Raw genomic sequence first — 18173 nt, forward strand, 5'->3', positions numbered from 1 at the left:
GGGAGGCTAGGCTAGATGCTTGGAACCTCCCTGTACACTTTTTTTCCAACTTCCTATGAATCTATAATCATTTTGAAATAAAAAGTTAAAACAATATTACATTCTGTTTATGTCACATCAAGAATGGCAAACCTGTAAAAATATGGACATACAGTTGCCTCTGCAAAAGGAGGCTTCATCTGATTTCATAACATTTTATTTGTTTAGAAAAACCTGGTCTTGAAGCAAACATAACAAAATGTTAACATTTGTGAATTTAGGATGATGGATTTTATTTGTTGTGTTTTTCCCTGTCCTTTATTATGTGTTTGAATCATTCCATTATTTAAAAAATAAAATAAATGTAAACAAAAGCAATAATTATGCCAGGGTATGTATCTCCCTGGTATCTTGGTCCACTCACAAAAGTGGTCTGAATGTTTAATATTTCCTTAGTAAAACTGCTACTTGGTCACAGGCTTCTCTCCATGAATTACTAACTCCGGGTTGGGAAGCCTAAGAACATAATCCATCTTTTTTATTATGACAAGCTAATTTAATTTTAATTGCTCCTTATAGTATTGCATTATGAGGAGGAACTATCTTTAATTATCTTTTTGGGGGGGTGTTTCTAAAGTAATGTGATCTCAGAAGCAGAGCATCGTCCCTTCCAAAGTAGCCACCTGACTGTGAACTTAAAATATTTGTGTGCAACAGTGTAAATAGACTTCTCTGCTCCTCCAACTGGTGGAGGCTGCCCTTCCCCCCGAAGCAATTAAAAGAATTCCAGATGGGTGATTCTCCCCTTCCTGGTCCTATTTAAAAATACAAGTGTCGCTTCGGGGATTTTTTTTTTCCTGGAATATACCAAGTGAGTGACACAAGAATTGGGACTCTCCATTCCTGATTTAAATATTGGCCGTGTCCTTTCGAGATCATTTTTCTTGGTGACATGTTAGACAATCTCAGGTCAGTCTGTGTCCTTAAAGATCACTGTGGGTGTCAGGAATGCTGCTTACAGATGTACATGATGGGCACATGGAGGCGCCCTTCAGGGCCTTTGGCTCAGATCCCCATCCTGCTCTTAAAGAAAAGGGCATTCTGTTATTTATTTGTTGGATTTTAATTTCTGCCTCTAGCCCTCTAAGGCTTCTCCATGTAGTGCCATCCTCTGCTGCTGTTACCACCATCAGGGGTGGGGGTAGGGGTGCTGTACAGTTGGCGGCCAGAGGATGCCATTGAAAAGTGGAGAAGTCTTCACACTGCTCTTTGTGGAAGGACGGCCTCCCTTCCCGTGGGCAAACCCCGGGGCTGGAGCCCTCCCAGCTGCCCAGTGGCTTTTGTGTGTGTGCAGCTTTCAGCTCCTGTCCATCAGGCTGAAAGGGCCCATTCAGGGGCATTCATGCGCCTCCGAGACCCCGGCCGCCTGGACACAATCAGCTGAGAGGGGCGCTGCGAGCCTTGCACATGAGAATGCGCCCACTCGGCCTGCCTCCAATTGTTTGGAGAAGCCCAGGGCCCGGGAGTGAGCCCAGAGGAATGACACTGGACAGCCACTTGGGGTTCATTCATTCTGTGCACTTGGAGCCTCTGGAAGGGAGGGGTGGGAATACCTTGCAGTGAGCTGGGAATGAGCAAGTTCAGGGCTGCTAGGGCTTATCTTTGGTCCTGACCTTCAGCTTTTATCTTTGTGTACACCTCTTGGAGCCCCTGCTTAAGGGTAGAGACCTTGTCTTCTTTATCTTTATAGTCCCACATACCTGAGGCACTCAGTAAGTCCTTGTTGAAGGAGTGAACTACATTGCTGCTCCTTTCATATAGCCCCAGGCACACTGATGTACTTTACTGTCCTTTGAAGAGGCCACAGAATATTTTGCCTCTTGGGGTGTGATCACCTTACTGAAAAGACTGGGCTCACCTCTTAGGTCAAGGAGAGTAGACTTTGAGATCTTGGAGGGACGAAGGACATTTTCAAGGTGGGAAGTTGCCGTAGAACAGAGTGCTGATGGCCAGGGATCTGCATTTGGAATTTGAGAGGCTGAGTAAGGAGCACCATAGGCCTCTGCAGAGGCCAGTCTTGGGTGGCTGGTTTGCAGGAAAGGGCAGGACCTGGTGCTGACTTGGAACCAGTTGGTGGTAGATGTGGAGATGGGAGAATGGACTTCATGGACACTTACCATATGGCAGCCAACACCCTGGGAACCTCTGGCACCTGATGACTGACCTAGGAACATGGGGGAATGAAAAGCACAGGCCAAGATGCTAAGGAGCCTTTGTGTTTCTTAGTTTTACAAAATTGTGTTTAAGGATCACAGCAGCAGCAGTCACAGTAGTAGCCAAAGAGATAGTAGAATCTTCTATTTATTGGGAACTTACTGGACTAAGAGCTTTGTACATAATACTTCACTGACTTAAGCTGTTCTGTTGTTATATACACCCACGTATGAGTGGTAAGTGCTGCAGGCATTTTAAGGTAGGAAAGGTTATTATTCCCATTTATGGACGCAATACCTGAGGCTCAGAAATATTAAGTGGCTTCCCAAGGTGAGTGGCAGAGCTTCAGTGGAAACGGGGGCTTAGGCTCTTAGCAACTGAGGCGAGGGCTGCTGCCAGCATTAATGACTCTGGTGCAGTGAACTGAGTTATCTTTATAATTTCTCCTTCAATTTTAAGTGTTAAGAAAGAAGGAAGAAAAGGAAAAATACCTCTACTAGTCTTTAAGAGCCTTATAACTTATTTGGAGAAACGCAGCACACAATATAGAAACACTTGCCAAGCTGCCAGTGCCGAGTGGTGGTATCAGTGCTGAGGACAGATAGGGAAAAGCTTTCCTACTTGTCACATACCCTGGGGAGGTGATCACAAACCCACTGCATGGCCTTCCTCCCAAGGAAGGAGTTAGGTTGCCCCATGGCTAAGGGAGGGATGTAGAACCACTTAACATGACATTGGTTTCAAACCCTCTGGTCCCGCCAGCTTCTTCTGTTAGGCACAGGTGCTATGTGACATCTCACAGACCCTGATCTGGTGCCAGCCCAGGCCAGATCACCAAACCCTGCCTGGCCTCAGCTCCCTGCACTATGCAATGGTATAGAAGTGGGATGGCACCTCTCATAGGGTTAGTTAGTATTTGCATGCTGTGTGCTCTGTACTACTCTGTTTAGTGCATTTAGAAGTTGATTTCCTTGGCACGTGACTCATGCCTGTAATCCCAGCACTTTCGGAGGCTGAGGAGGGCAGATCACGAGGTCAGGAGTTCGAGACCAGCCTGATCAACGTGGTGAAACTCTGTCTCTACTAAAAATACAAAGATTAGGTGGGTGTGGTGGCAGGTGCCTGTAATCCCAGCTACTCGGAAGGCTGAGGCAGGAGAATCGCTTGCAGCTGGAAGGCAGAGGTTGCAGTGAGCTGAGATTTTGTCACTGCACTCCAGCCTGGGCAACAAGAGTGAAACTCCATCTCAAAAAAAAAAAAAAAAGAAGTTTATTTTATTTCCTCATTGGATGTGACCAACTTCCTACAAAGGGAAGAAACTTCATCTTCAAGTCCCTAGGATAAAGCTTTTCATAGGGAGGGGACAAAAATTTAACTCCAGGTCACCAAGAGAAGTCATTTTGCAGCATGGAACTTAGTGCACTTTTGTTTTCACTATGGTCCCAGAATCCATTTGTCCTCTGACAAGGGGACTCTGTGCTGCATAGGGCTGGGTGTTCCAGCTATGTAGCCCTGTGCCTGATGGCAGGTGCAGCCACAGTTAGCTGAGGGGCAGTGGTCTCCATTCAGAGGTCTGCTTCCTTCTACCCTATTTCACCCTAATGAAGATATGTCATCTTGCAAATGACTACATGTTTTCTATCCTCCTCATTTCTAATCCTGAATTTAAGCATTGGAAAGAGCTTGAGCAAATCAGTCAGCTACCGCCCCTCTCCCCCAAACTCAGTCTAGTCATCTGCAAAATGGAGCTAGCAGTGAAAACAGTATGTATTAAATGAGATGATACATGTGAAACATGTAGAGCTCTAATTTTATTTTTTTTTTATTTATTTTTTTGAGACAGAGTCCCGATCTGTTGCCCAGGCAGTGGTGTGATGTTGGCTCACTGCAACCTCCGCCTCCCGGATTCAAGCGATTCTCATGCGTCAGCCTCCTGGGTAGTTGAGATTACAGGCATGTATGCCCAACTGATTTTTGTATTTTTAGTAGAGATGGGGTTTTCAGCATGTTGTTCAGGCTGGTCTCGAACTCCTGGCCTCAGGTGATCCATCTGCCTCGGCCTCCCAGAGTGCTGGGATTACACGTGTGAGCCGTGGCACCTGGCCTAACTAATCTTTTTTTTTTTTTTTTTAAGTGCACTGCACTGAAGTGCAGTGGTGTGATCACAGCTCATTGCAACCTTGAACTCCTGGGCTCAAGTGATCCTCCTGCCTCAGCCTCCCGAGTAAGTGGGATACAGGCATGCACTACCATCCTTGGCTAATTTTTTTTAAATTTTTTGTAGAGAAATTTTTGTTTCTCTACCAAGTTTTTGTTGCCCAGGCTGGTCTTGAACTCATGGCCTCAAGCAATCCTCCCACCTCAGCCTCATAAAGCACCAGGATTACAGGCATAAGCCACTGTGCCCGCTCTGTCTTATCTAACTGGGTAATCACTCAATAAAATTAAGTTCTTATTTTTTCATTTGAATGAATTGTATCGATACCTGGGAGAAGCCAAAGGTTGCTTTGTTAGTTGTAACTCCGCTGACTGACCACCTTTGCTGTGCTTGATATTTATGTAGAGCACTCAGGCTAAAATGCCCATGGCTTCCCTGTCCTTTTATTCTCGTGGGTGATGGCGAGTAGAGCACAGAGGGCCAAGTGACTTGTCCAATCTGCGTAGACAGTAACAGTTCCCCATCCATGGCTCTTTCCACAGCTGAGGAGCCAAAGTCTCAGGCAGGTCTCAAAGCTGGCAAGTTTAAACTAAGTGATATTTAGTCTGGGTGGGATACTGATCATGCATTTTTCTTTCTTTTTTCTTGCTCTAAAGGGCATTATTAGGGCCGGGTGCAGTGGCTCATGCCTGTAATCTTAGCACTTTGGGAGGCCAAGGTGGCAGGATTGCTTGAACCCAGGAGTTCAAGACCAGCCTAGGCAACAAAGCGAGACCTCATGTCTATATTTAAAAATAAATAAGTAAATAAATAGAGGGCATTATCAGGACAGCTGGCAGCATTTGAATAAAGTCTGTGGATTGAGTGATAGTATTCTACCAGCGGTAGTTTTCTGTTCTTTGTTCCTTCTCCTCTACCACTGCTCCACTTGACTAGCCTTAAAAAATAAAAAGCAATTAAAATAAATAAGATGGCAATTTTATGACTAGGTAAACTGGTATTGTAAGAAAATGTCTTTTTTGGGAAATACAGAAGTATTTAGACAAAAGGGGACATCATGTGTGCATCTTACTCTAAAATGGTTTGGGGAAAAATGCATATAGAGAGAGAGATAAAGTAAGTGTAGTTAAATGTTAACATTTGGGGTATGTAGGTGAGTGGTATGTGGAAGTTCATTTTACTATTCTTGCAACTTTTGTATAAGTCTGAAATTATTTTAGTATTTAAAAGTTTAAAAAAAAAAAGGCCCTCCTGTGGCTGAGGTGGTAGGAGGGTTAGTGTGAAAAGATGGGAGAGGGGCTATGGGATGGAGAGGGGTGGGGCAGAACCCTGGAAGGTGACCCCCTGGGAGTGGATGGCTGAAGACATGTGAATGAAGAGAGGAGAAGGGGGGAATAAACTGAATAAGAAAAGTCCCCCAAACAGAGCACCTTCCCACCGAAACAGGAGGGATTACCTTCGGGAAATGATGTGGGCAGACTCTAAGGCATTGCCAAGTTGGAATTACAGAATTCAGGAGTGGTGGCTCACACCTGTAATCCCAGCACTTTGGGGAGGCCAAGGCGGGTGGATTACTTGAGGCCAGGAGTTCGAGACCAGCCTGGTCAACATGGCAAAACCCCATCTCTACTAAAAATACAAAAATTAGCCGGGTGTGGTGGCGCACGCCTGTAATCCCAGCTACTTGGGAGGCTGAGGCAGGAGAATCAGGCTGATAATGAGCCAAGAGAAGAGGAGAAACCAAGTCTGCCAGGAGAAATATGAATTTGGACCTTGGAGAATGAAAATTGTAGGAAAAGTAGGCAGGGTAGATGGGCAGGGAAACCCAAAGCATGGTCAGGGCATCTTCTGAGGATGATGGGGATCCTGCAACTAAGCCAGCCAAACTTGAGTCTAGAATTGTGTGCCCCCAGGTGCCCTTGAGCCCAGGGTAAATAGCTGGTGTGATTACAGCAACCAGCAGTGTGTGCCATATCACAGTAAACACTCCAGGAGTGGGTTCTCACAGAAGAATCAGGAGGAAACCCCTGGCATGAGATTCAGAGCAGAATCCCCCTCAAGTTCTTGGATGGTGGCAGCAGCTGCTGTGGAGTCTCTGTTGCAAGCTTTTAGTTCGCAGGCACACTGGTTCAAGTTTAATCACCACAAAAATACTGCTTTGTGTGAAAATAATACATGAGTAGTCCTTATTGCAAAAGGTTCAAAGCAAACAGAAGGAATACATCAGAGGCCTCTTTCAGCTCCACCCCCCAGTCCCACCCCCGAGGTAACAGGTGTGGACAGTTCGTCTCCCTACAGTCCTTTTTCGCAGCATTTGCCCTATGGCGTAGTGGCTGGGACTGTGGGCTTTGAAGCAAGATCATCTGGGTTCACCAACTACCTCCACTACCTACAAACCTTGTAACCTTGAGCAAGTTACCTACCCTTTTCTCTGCCTACATTTTCTCATCTGTAAAGTCAGGATAATAACAGTCTAGACCTAATAGGGTTGTCATGGAGACTGAATGAGTTGGTAGGTGAAAAGAACCAGCACCTGGCACAGTCAGTGCTCAAGAAATGTTAACGTGCATGGGACGTGGTGGCTTATGCCTGTAATTGCAACACTTTGGGAGGCTGAGGCAAGAGGATCACTGGAGCCCAAAAGGTCAAGGGTGCAGTGAGTTGTGATTGTGCCACTGCACTTCATGCTGGGTGACAGAGCGAGGAGACACTGTCTCAAAAATAAATCAATAAATAAGATCTCATTACATATGAAGACCGATTTTCTTGCTTGCTTGCTTTTTGCTTGCTTTTTTGCTTTCCTTTCTTTTTTTCCTTCTTTCTTTTTTTGAGACAGGGTCTCACTCTGTTGCCCAAGCTAGAGTGCAGTGATGGGATCATGGCTCACTGCAGCCTCAACCTCCCAGGCTCAGGAGATCCTCTCACTGCAGCCTCCCGAGTAGCTGGGACTAGAGGGGCACGCCACCACCCCCGGCCAATTTTTGTATTTTTTGTAGAGATGGGGTCTCGCCATGTTGCCCAGACTGGTCTCATAATCCTGGGCTCAAGCCATCCTCCTGCCTCGGCCTCCCAAAGTGCTGGGATTACAGGTGTGAGCCACCATACCTGGCCCTATTTTCTTTCTTAAAAACCATAAAAAGAGTCCTACTCTGAATATTTTTATCAGTAGCATTCTTAGTTTTGAGCAGTAGGTATCAGCTGACTGAGATCAGAAAAAGGATTTCTTTAAAGGACATTGGGGTGGTTCCCAGTCTTGCTGGGATGGCTGTGGACTCAAACCATGGAGACCAGGCAGCAGCCCAGTCTGCACCCACAATAGTCACAAAACCAGAGTGGTGAGGACACTGTGCTGTTGATGTTGCTGGCATTTCCAGCTTCCAGAGTGGGAGGTGAACCCTGCGTCCTGCCAGGACTCATACGAGAAGCAGGGATTCCTAAACTCGGGACAGGAGTTCAGATGCCAGGGGCAAGTGTATCCCTGAATAGTTTATGATTCATTTGAGCCTTTTGTGCCCACATAAACGATGTCATTCTTCTTCTCTTAAAGACAAACTTCGCTATATTGCTTAGGCTGGACTCAAACTCCTGGGCTCAAGGGATCCTCCCACCTCAACATCCTGAGTAGCTAGGACTATAGGCGCAGGCCACTGCACCCAGCACATGTTATTCTGCACATTTACCTGTGCCAGGTGCTGTGCAGCAGTGATTCTCAGCCCAGCAGCACATTGGAATTACCTGGGGAGCTTGGATGATTTGGAATGTCCAGGCCGGGCCTGGTGGTAGGTCCCAGCCATCAGGACTATTTTTTTTTTTTTTAAGAGACAGGGTCTCACTATGTTGCCCAGGCTGGTATTAAACGTTTGACCCCAAGTGATGCTCCCACCTTGACCTCCTAAAGTGCTGGGATTACAGGTGCAAGCCACCACACCCAGCCCGGACTTTATAAGGTTCCAGGTGATTCCAATGTGTAGTCAAGGTTAATAACCACAGCTTCTAGAGGATAGTGCATTTAATAATCACCTCTATATTGGGTAGGTGATGTTTTTCTGAATTTATACATGGGAAACCAAGCCTGAGAAAGCATTCCTGCCTTGCTTTATGTCACCCAGTAAGTGAGGCATTCCCACTGCCCAACCCCTTCCCCTGACTGCAGTGACTGCTGCTGCTTGCCTGGATGGGGAGGAGGAGCAAGCCTCTTCCTCAGCCCCCGGCACTCCCCAGCCACACCAACCTGCCGCAGGCCATCCAAACTCCACGGTTTCAGGGCCTTGCGTGCAGGTTTCTCTGCCTAGGTTGGTGTTACCTCACTTCTCACTTGGACAGTTTCCACTTACCACCCCCAGCCTAAGTAAGTCCTCCTCTTCTTTTTCCTTTGTGTTACTAAAACAGTATGTGATTGTATATGTATTAATATGTATTAATCCGAGCACTTTGCAGGGCCGAGGAAGGTAGATCACCTGAGGTCAGGAGTTCGAGACCAGCCTGGCCGACACGGTGAAACCCAGTCTGTACTAAAAATACAAAAATTAGCCAGGTGCGGTGGCAAACGCCTGTAATCCCAGCTATTTGGGAGGCTGAGGCAGGAGAATCGCTTGAACCCGGGAGGCAGAGGTTACAGTGCACCACTGCACTCTAGCCTGGGCAACAAGAGCGAAACTCTGTCTCAAAAAATATATATATATTTCGGGAGTGGGGTGGCACAAATAGGCAGAATGTCTGCTAAGGCTCCTTGTGGGACAGTGATGAAAGAAACACCAACAAACACTGATGCGACTAAAGGCTATCCTAGGATCAAAAGGCAGTCTACTAAAAGTCCATTAATTAGCATTTGCTACCACTTATCTGTGGAAATTAAGATTTTTTTTTGGTTCTCTGCAATCAAAACAAAATTCAAAAATAAAATATTAGCTGATGTGGCTGATATAAGACAACTGTCAATCGTCACCCTGCCTTTTAGGATGCAGCAAAACACCTTTGTTCTTCTTACAGATTCATCTGATTTTTGTGTTGGAGATTTGAGATTTTGCTCGTTACTGAAAATGTTTCCTCTGCTGAGAGTTTGAGCAGCCTCCTGGTTGTGCAGAGTGGCCAGGGTTGGGCTCAGCTGGCCAGGTGGCAGGTGCAAAGCAGGGTTCTAGAAGAGAGTCTGCCTGTGGCCTCATAGGGGTAACTTACTTCAGTGAGCAGTGTTGGGTGCCTGAGTGAGGAAGTAGAGGTGGCAGAGGAGGGGTCCAGTGGGCTGTCTGGGCCATGTGAGGCTGTCTGCAGGACTCCTCAGAAAGGTTCAGGACTCACGTTCAGTGCAAGGGAAGACAAAGACCTTTATTGCTACAAAGTTGGGTGGGAGACTGAAGTCCTCAGATGGTCTACAAGCTTGAAAACCAAATCAAGTTGACCAACAACCTTCAGTTACAGTCATGTGGTATTGCTGCGACTTCTGAATTTCCCATTTGGGGTTTTATTAGCTTTTAGTAAAAGGCGACATTGTGAAGAAACCCAGATTAGAATTCAGTTTATAAAACAGCTGAGTGAGAAAGTGGGATAGGGGAGCCAGGGAACTACATAGAAAATCATTGAGCAATTACTCAACACAATTAGAGCCCAAACACCACCATCTCATGTGCACTCCTTGAGCTGGCAAGTAGGGAAGGGGGTGCAGAGCCGGAGCTCAGGGAGAGGTGTCCGTGGCTCCCTCACTTCTGGTCTCAGAGGCCTGGAGTGTCCTCTGTTCTGAGCATTTTCCACAGGCAGGGGCTGGTTTCAGGCCCAGACAGACTCCCAAAGCTAAACAAATGAGCAGCCCTCGCTGGCCATGACTTTGCCATTTAGAAGTGGCTTTGGGGCTCCAGAATGAATGGGGAGCCTAATGCAGACCCAACTGACCAACTTCGGCAGCTTTGGGGAAAGTAATAAAAATGAGCCCAGGGGTTTGAGACAAGCCTGGGCAACAAAGTGAGATCCCGTCTCTACAAAAAATTAGCTGGGTGTGGTGGCACACGCCTGTGGTCCTAGCTACTCTGGAGGCTGTGGCAGGAAGATCGCATGAGCCCAAGAGGTTGAGGCTGCAGTAAGCTGTGTTTGTGACACTACACTCTAGCCTGGGTGACAGAATGAGACCCTTTCTCCAAAATAAAAAGAAAAAAGAAAATGAGACCAGTAGTGATCTAAATAAGTGAGCACTTTGGGATGGCTTCCCAGAGATAAGTAGGTGATGTAAACCTCATCTTCCCAGCCCTGTAAAGAAAAAAGGTTTTTTGTGGGGGTAGGAGGAGGCTCCATTTCATCAAATCTGAAGGTGGACTTGAGAGTTTATAGTTTTCCCAGACTGTGAGGCTCCACCCAGGCTTTCTGTCTCTGCCAGTGCCAAGATGCTGCCTGTCCTACCACCTGTGCTGAGAGGGTGTCCCTAATGTCCATGATGGTTCAGGCTGGAGTAACTAGAAAAAGAACTCAGTTTCCTTCCCAAGGAAGAAACTGTAATTCAGTCCCTGCCCAGCTCACAATGGTGATCTCAGTATGTCTCTTAGCCATTTTGCATTTAAGATTCTCTGTCTATAAAATGGCAATCTGCTGATCTTAAAAAAAATGTGGAAGAGACAATAAAATAAAATCCCAGTTCTACTGAGTTCTAACAGCCAGAAACCGTGAGCCATTTAAAATTTTGTTTGTCTCATGTTTATGAGAAAGGATAAAATAACAGATATCTAAACCAACACCAGGGACTCTTTTAAAAGCTCAAATTCTAGGGCAGTGGTTCTCAACTCAGGCTGCACATTAGAGTCAACTGGGGAGCTTTTGAAAACACCAGTCCCCAAACTCCACCCCAGACCAATTAAATCATAATCTCTAGGAAGGAGGTCCAAGCGTCTGTATGTCTTTAAAAGCTCCCCGAGTGATTCTAATGGGCTGCCAGGGTTGGGAGTCATTGTTGGGGTATGCCAGTTGGATATAAAGATTCAGATTTATTTCCAGAAATATTATACAAGATAATTTTTTTATTTCTCTAATAGCTGAAAAATATATCTTATTTATTTATTTTATTGAGATATAAATCACATACCATGAAATTCATCCTCTTATTAAAGTATGCAGTTCAGTGGCTTTAGTATACTCACGGAGTTGTGCAACCATCACCACTCTCTAATTCCAGAAAAAACCCTTAGCTGTTAGCAGTCACTCTCCTTTATCTCCTGACAACCACTCCTCTACTTTCTGTCTCCATGGAGTTGCCCATTCTAGGCATTTCGTCAGATGGAGTCATACAACATGTGGCCTTTTATGTCCAGCTTTTTTCACTTAGTCTAATGCTTTCAGGGTTCACCTATATTGTAGCGTGTATCTGTACTTCATTCCATTTTATTTTTGGATAATATCCCATCGTGTGGATATCCCACATTTTGTTTGTCGATTCATCCATTGGTGGACGTTGGGGTTGTTTCCACTTTTTGGCTATTGTGGACAGTGCTGCTGTGAGCATTCTTGTACAGGTTTTTGTAAGGACATATGGTTTCAGTTATATTGGGTATACAGTTGACCTTTGAACTATGCAGGGGTTAGGACGCCAACCCCTCATGCAGTCGAAAATCCATGTATAACTTTTGGCTCCACAAAACTTAACTACTAATAGCCTACTCTCGATTAACAACTTATTTTGTAGGCTATATGTATTATATACTGTATTCTTACAATAAAGTAAGCTAAAGAAAAGGAAATGTTATTATGAAAACCATAAGGAAGAGAAAATACTGTATTAATACCATAAGTTTACATTGTCTGTCTACAAGAGGAATTGTTTGTCTGAAATGACAGGCAACTACACAGCTGCAGACCTCAATTTCTGGTACATATCAAGCAATTCAACTTTTTCCTGTAATGTCATGACTCTTCTCTTTTCTTGGGAGCACTTTCAGCATCACTAGTGGCACTTCATATGGGGCTCATGGTATTATTCAGGGTTTATGGTATTGCACTAAACACGATGAAAACTACATGAGAACCGCAAGAGATCACTTTTTACTGGAATAAGCAGTTTACTGGAGAGATGAGCAGCTCACATAGAGATCACTAGCATCTAGCTGTTGGATACCTGCGACACTTGAGTTACCTGCGACACTTGAGTTACCTGCGACACTTGAGTTCACGGCAATAGCAACAGGAGGTGGCTGTGAAATTATTACAATAGTGGCCAGGCACGGTGGCTCACGTCTGTAATCCTAGCATTTTGGGAGGCCGAGGTGGGTGGATTACCTGAGGTCGGGAGTTCAAGTCTAGCCTGGCCAACATGGTGAAACCCTGTCTCTACTAAAAAATATAAAAAATTAGCTGGTGCAGTGGTGTGCGCCTGTAATTCCAGCTACTCAGGAGGCCGAGGCACAAGAATTCGCTTGAACCTGGGAGGCGGAGGTTGCAGTGAGCCAAGATCACACTACTGCACTCTAGCCTGGGCTACAGAGAGAGACTTCGTCTCAAGAAAACAAAAACAAAAACAAAAAAATTATTACAGTCATACAGTATGCACTGTATTTAATTTTATGCAGTGATTATATTGCATCTTTATGTTTGTTTACATTTCTCTGACTATAAATGGTGCCATGTACAGTCTGTGTGTGCAAAAGTTTTGATAAATTTTAATGTTTTATGATAGATTTATGGATATTTGTGGTAGTAAATGATAAAATAGACTAGTATCTACGTAGATTTGATGCATTCATGACATACCTTTTTCTTAATTTTTTCAGCATTTCTAGGCTACATAGTTTACAAGTTTTTCCAAATTGTCACAAATCTCCAAAAAATGTTCCAATATATTTATTGAAATAAATTCACATGTAAGTGGATCTACAAAGTTCAAACCTGTTTTGTTCAAGGGTCAACTGTATATCTAGGAGTGGAATTGCTGGGTTGCGTGGTCACTTTATGTTTAACCATTTGAGGAGCCGCCAGCCTGTTTTCCAAAATGGCTACACCATTTTACATTGCCATCAGCAGTGTATGAGGGTTCCGGTTTCTCTACATCCTCATCAACACTTGGCATTATTTTCTGTCCTTTTGACTATAGCTATCCTAATGGATGTGAAGTGGTATGTCATTGTAGTTTGGTTTACCTTTTCCTGATGGCTAATGAAGTTGGGTACCCTTTAATGTATTTATTGGCCATTGTTAAGTCTTCTCTGGAGAAATGTCTATTCAAGTCTTTTGACTTTTTATTTATTTATTTATTTATTTATTTATTTTATTTTATTTTTTTGAGATGGAGTCTCACTGTCACCCAGGCTGAAGTGCAGTGGTGCGATCTCAGCTCACTGTAACCTCCACCTTGCAAATTCAAGTGATTCTCCTGCCTTAGCCTTCTGAGTAGCTGGGACTACAGGCACATGTCACCATGCCCAGTTAATGTTTTGTATTTTTAGTAGAGATGGGGTTTCACCGTGTTGGCCAGGCTGGTCTCTAATCCTGACCTCAAGTGATCTGCCTGCCTTGGACCCCCCAAAGTGCTGGGATTACAGGCATGAGCCACCATGCCCGGGCTCTTTTGACCTTTTAAAATTGAGTTATTTGTCTTTTTATTGTTGAGTTGCAAGAGCTCTTTCTTTATGTATTCTGGGTACTAGATCCTTATTAAATACATTATTTGCAAATATTTTCTCTCATTCTGTGGGTTGTCTTTTCACTTTCTTTGTAGTATTCTTTGAAGCACAAAAGTTTTTAATTTTGATGAAGTCTAATTTAGCTATATTTTCTGTTATCATTTGTGCTTTAGGTGTCATATCTAAGCAACCACTGCCTAGTCCTAGGTCATAAAAAATATGTCTTTAATTTATTCTAAGATATTTATAATTTCAGTTCTTAGAGGTCTTTGATCAATTCTGAGTTAATTTTTACATACAGTGTTAGGCAGATTTTATCACTCCAAAAAGGTAGGAGTACAGCTTCATTCTGTGCAAGATAAGTTGATCATATTAGAATATTAGAGCAGGCCACGGGGCTTGGGAGCTCTAGTCCCTTATTGTAATGGTGAGGCACGTAAGGTACTGTGAGGTTCAATTGAGAGATAAACACTGACTCTAAAGGCCTATTTGAACCTAAAGTACCTCCGAACTCTTTTTCTTTTTTTTTGAGACAGAGTCTCGCTCTTTCGCCCAGGCTGGAGTGCAGTGGTGCCATCTAGGCTCACTGCAAGCTCCACCTCCTGGGTTCACGCCATTCTCCTGCCTCAGCCTCCCAAGTAGCTGGGACTACAGGCACCCGCCACCACGCCCGGCTAATTTTTTGTATTTTTTTGGTAGAGACGGGGTTTCACCATGTTAGCCAGGATGGTCTTGATCTCCTGACCTCGTGATCCGCCCGCCTTGGCCTCTCAAAGTACTGGGATTACAGGCATGAGCCACCGCGCCCGCCCAGTACCTCCTAACTCTTATGAAAGGTTAAAGTGTATTCTCCATAGTTTCTCTGTTCAGTCAATTTTAATAGCATTTCTAACATTGGGAAGCTATAACTTATTTCTGAGGTATTATGTGTATCTTAACACCAGAACATGACCAGAACATTGCATGGCTCTGTCACAGGTGAGTTGCCAAACTCACTGTCATATTTTTAAAGATCTTAATTCTTTGGTAGATAACCAAGATTAGTTGAAATGCATGTTCAGATTATGGATACATCAGACTCAGCTAAATGGAAAATGTATACCATAGAAGAAAATATATTCCAATCAGACATGGTGGCTCACGCCTGTAATTCCAGCACTTTGGGAGGCCAAGATGGAAGGATCACTTAAGGCCAGGAGTTCAAGACCAGCCTGAGCAACATAGCAAGACCCTGTCTCTACAAAAAAAAATTTTAAATTAGCCAGGCGTGGTGGTGTGTGCCTGTAGTCACAGCTACTCAGGAGGCTGAGGTGGGAGGATCACTTGAGCCCAGGAGGTCGAGGCTGCAGTGAGCCATGTTCACACCACTGCACTCCAGCCTGGGTGACAGAGTGAGACCCTATCTCAAAAAAAGAAAAAAGAAAAAAAAAGGAAAGAAAGAAAGAAAAGGAAGGAAGGGAAGAAGGGAAGAAAATAAATTCTAAATAGATTAAAAAGAAGTTTAAAAAACTTAAAAGATACCTTTAACAGTATTGAAAACGATGTTGAAGCATCCTATAAAAGCCACAGCAAGTGATAATGATGTGATAATAGATGAAAAGAACGCAAGGGAAATCTCCTAAACGACTCAAACTATACAGGGAGGGGCGGTTTGGAAGGGGGAGTTAGATCCCTACCTCATGCCACACTCAAATATATCAACTGAATGAAAGATTTATTTCATTATTCTTTTTATATTTAATAAAGAGATGCTTGCTAATGGAGGTAAAAAAAATCAAACAGTACAAGTAAAATGAAATTCTTCCTTGATTTTCTTTTCCCCTCTCTGCCTAGCTCCACTTCACTCACTGCTATTTGGTGTGTGTTCTTCCTGGCTGGTTTGAATATATACATATACAACTACTATGTATTATTTTGTGGATTTTTTAACACAAAGAGGATTCTGTTATTTCTATTTGATAACTTGCTTCCCCCCCCCCCCCCACTTAATAGGGTATCTCAGAGACCTTTCGATGTCAGTACATACGCGCTTACCTCATTCTAATTAGCCACTGTGTGGTATTCCATAGTAGAGATGTACCTTGTAAGCATTCCCATGTTGGTAGGCATGTTAAGAAGAAAAAAAGAACATACTTGAACACACCTTTGTGTGCCCAAACTAGTCTTTCTCCAGCATAGATTGCTAGTAGTAGATTTACTGGGTCTGATAGTATTTGTGCATTTTATTTTATTTTATTTTGTAGAGGCGGGGTCTTACTATGTTGCCCAGGCTGGACTTGAACTCCTGGGCTTAAGCAAACCTCCCACTTCAGCCTACCAAGTAGTTGGAACTGTAGGCACGTGCACCACGCCCAGCTAGCATTTTAAATTTTAATAAATTCTGCCAAAATACCATCCAAAAAAAGGCTTTGTGAAATTACACTGTAATGAATAGTATGGGAGTGATACCCTTGCCAACTTTTTAAAAATTTAAATTAATCCAATGGGCAGAAATTATACCTCATTTAAATTTTTTTTTTTAATAAGCAGAGAAAATACTTGTAGAAGGTATTACTTAGTTTTGTTTGTTTTTTTTCTTTAGTCTATACACAGAAAACTACCTGGGGCTCTCTTTGACAGCACATAAACTAAAATTGGAACAGTACAGAGAAGAGTAGCATGGCTCCTGTGCAAGAATGATGCACACATTTGTGAAGCGTTTCATATTTTAAACAACATATTTAGAGATAGAAAAGGGAAAACTACCTAGAAGTGGAATGAGATTAGGAGAATTAGGAGGATTAGTTAGAATTTTTTCTGGTTAGAATTTTTATTTTCTAAATTGAAATTCTAGTTTCAAGTTGTTTTAAAATAATACAATTTTAGTTTCAAGTTGTTTTAAAATAATAAATGTATATTGCTTTTGGAACTTGAAAAAGAATAAAGATATTTTTTAAAAGAAAAATAAAGCCCTCTTGCAGCATAATTTACGTTGCATTTTCTCTCTCAGTGCTGAGCAGGCCTAGAGTTGAAGGTCGTGAGTGAACTGTATATTAAAAGCCTTTGTCTTCCGGCTGTAGCAATACCATACTTCTGTATGGCCAATTGTCAACTAAAGCCTGTATCTTGAAATGATGGACTCATGTGCAGATAGATTGTTGTGTGCATCTACACTCCCGGCCTGTTCATAGAAGACTTCCGGGGCAGCAAGCAGAAATGCTTGTCAGCCCACATTGTTTTTTTTTTTTTTTCAATACAGAGTCTCTGTTACCCAGTCTGGAGTACAGTGGTGTAATCTTGGCTCGCTGCAGCCTCTGCCTCCCAGGTTCAAGCGATCCTCCCACCTCAGCCTCCCAAGTAGCTTGGATTACAAGCCTGCTAATTTTTGTATTTTTTTTTAGTAGAGAAGGGGTTTCACCATGTAGGCCAGGCTGGTTTCGAACTCCTGACCTCAAGTGATCTACCTGCCTTGGCCTCCCAAAGTGTTGGGATTACAGGCGTGAGCCGCTGCACCCAGCCTCCATATTCTTTATTCTAGCTGCTCAAGCAGTTTTCTCCACACCTGTGCTTCTTTAAAACAGTGGACTTGATGGAAAAATTGAATGTTACCACTTTAGTTGGATCCTGGAGATGGATAATTCATTGATAAGGACTGCCATCCACTTGGATGCTTTCTTCAGAGCCCTGTCACCAAGAACAGATTGGCAGTCCATTCTGTAATTCACAGCATACCTTTATTGCTGACAAAGTTCCAAGTGAAGGTACCTGTTAGCTGGGGCTATTAACTCCCTCTTGTTGGGCTCCTGTACCCTGTCTGCAGGGGCTAGGGCCAGTGGCCATGATGAGAAATGAGCACACGTGGCTCAAGAACAGAGCCTGTGATTTGCCCATTGGTACTGAGTCCACCTTGGTGGGAAGTCAGTGGCAATTCTTCCACCCACACACCACTGACCTTGCCTTGTTGGTGGCCATCTTGTGTGTTGGCTCTTGACCAGAGACGCTCTGCAGTCACTCTGTGGGGCTGTTTGACCACAAAATGTGTCACTGGGTTAGTGGTTTTATGCCAAGGTAAGATTCTGATAGAAGGCAGTTAAGGTGGTAGTGTAAAAGCTGCATGAACAATCATGGTTCTTCTTGAATACAAAACAGTAATCTCTGCCACTAATTCATTGACTGCCAAGTCCCAGGCTCTGGGATGGGTACTCTTTGTAAGTCATGATTTCATTTAATTTCCCAAAAAGTCCATCCCATCACCT

General features: G+C 43.8%; 1 protein-coding gene and 1 pseudogene across 2 annotated transcripts in view, besides 1 other annotated feature; both read left to right on the forward strand.

The window, feature by feature from the left end:
- The window catches only part of TCF7L1 (transcription factor 7 like 1), a 176996-nt gene that overhangs the window by 54993 nt on the left and 103830 nt on the right, over positions 1-18173 (forward strand). The gene's annotated exons all lie outside the window — the stretch shown is intronic.
- Positions 1407-1908: an enhancer, noted in NCBI's record as "H3K27ac-H3K4me1 hESC enhancer chr2:85416914-85417415 (GRCh37/hg19 assembly coordinates)". NCBI's record gives its function as "activates a minimal SCP1, AML or CMV promoter by ChIP-STARR-seq in primed H9 embryonic stem cells {active_cell/tissue: H9 hESC(primed)}" and the evidence as "EXISTENCE:reporter gene assay evidence [ECO:0000049][PMID:30033119]".
- RNU6-674P (RNA, U6 small nuclear 674, pseudogene) lies at positions 16542-16648 on the forward strand (annotated as a pseudogene).

Source organism: Homo sapiens, chromosome 2 (genome assembly GCF_000001405.40).
Source record: "Homo sapiens chromosome 2, GRCh38.p14 Primary Assembly".
Classification (NCBI taxonomy): domain Eukaryota; kingdom Metazoa; phylum Chordata; class Mammalia; order Primates; family Hominidae; genus Homo; species Homo sapiens.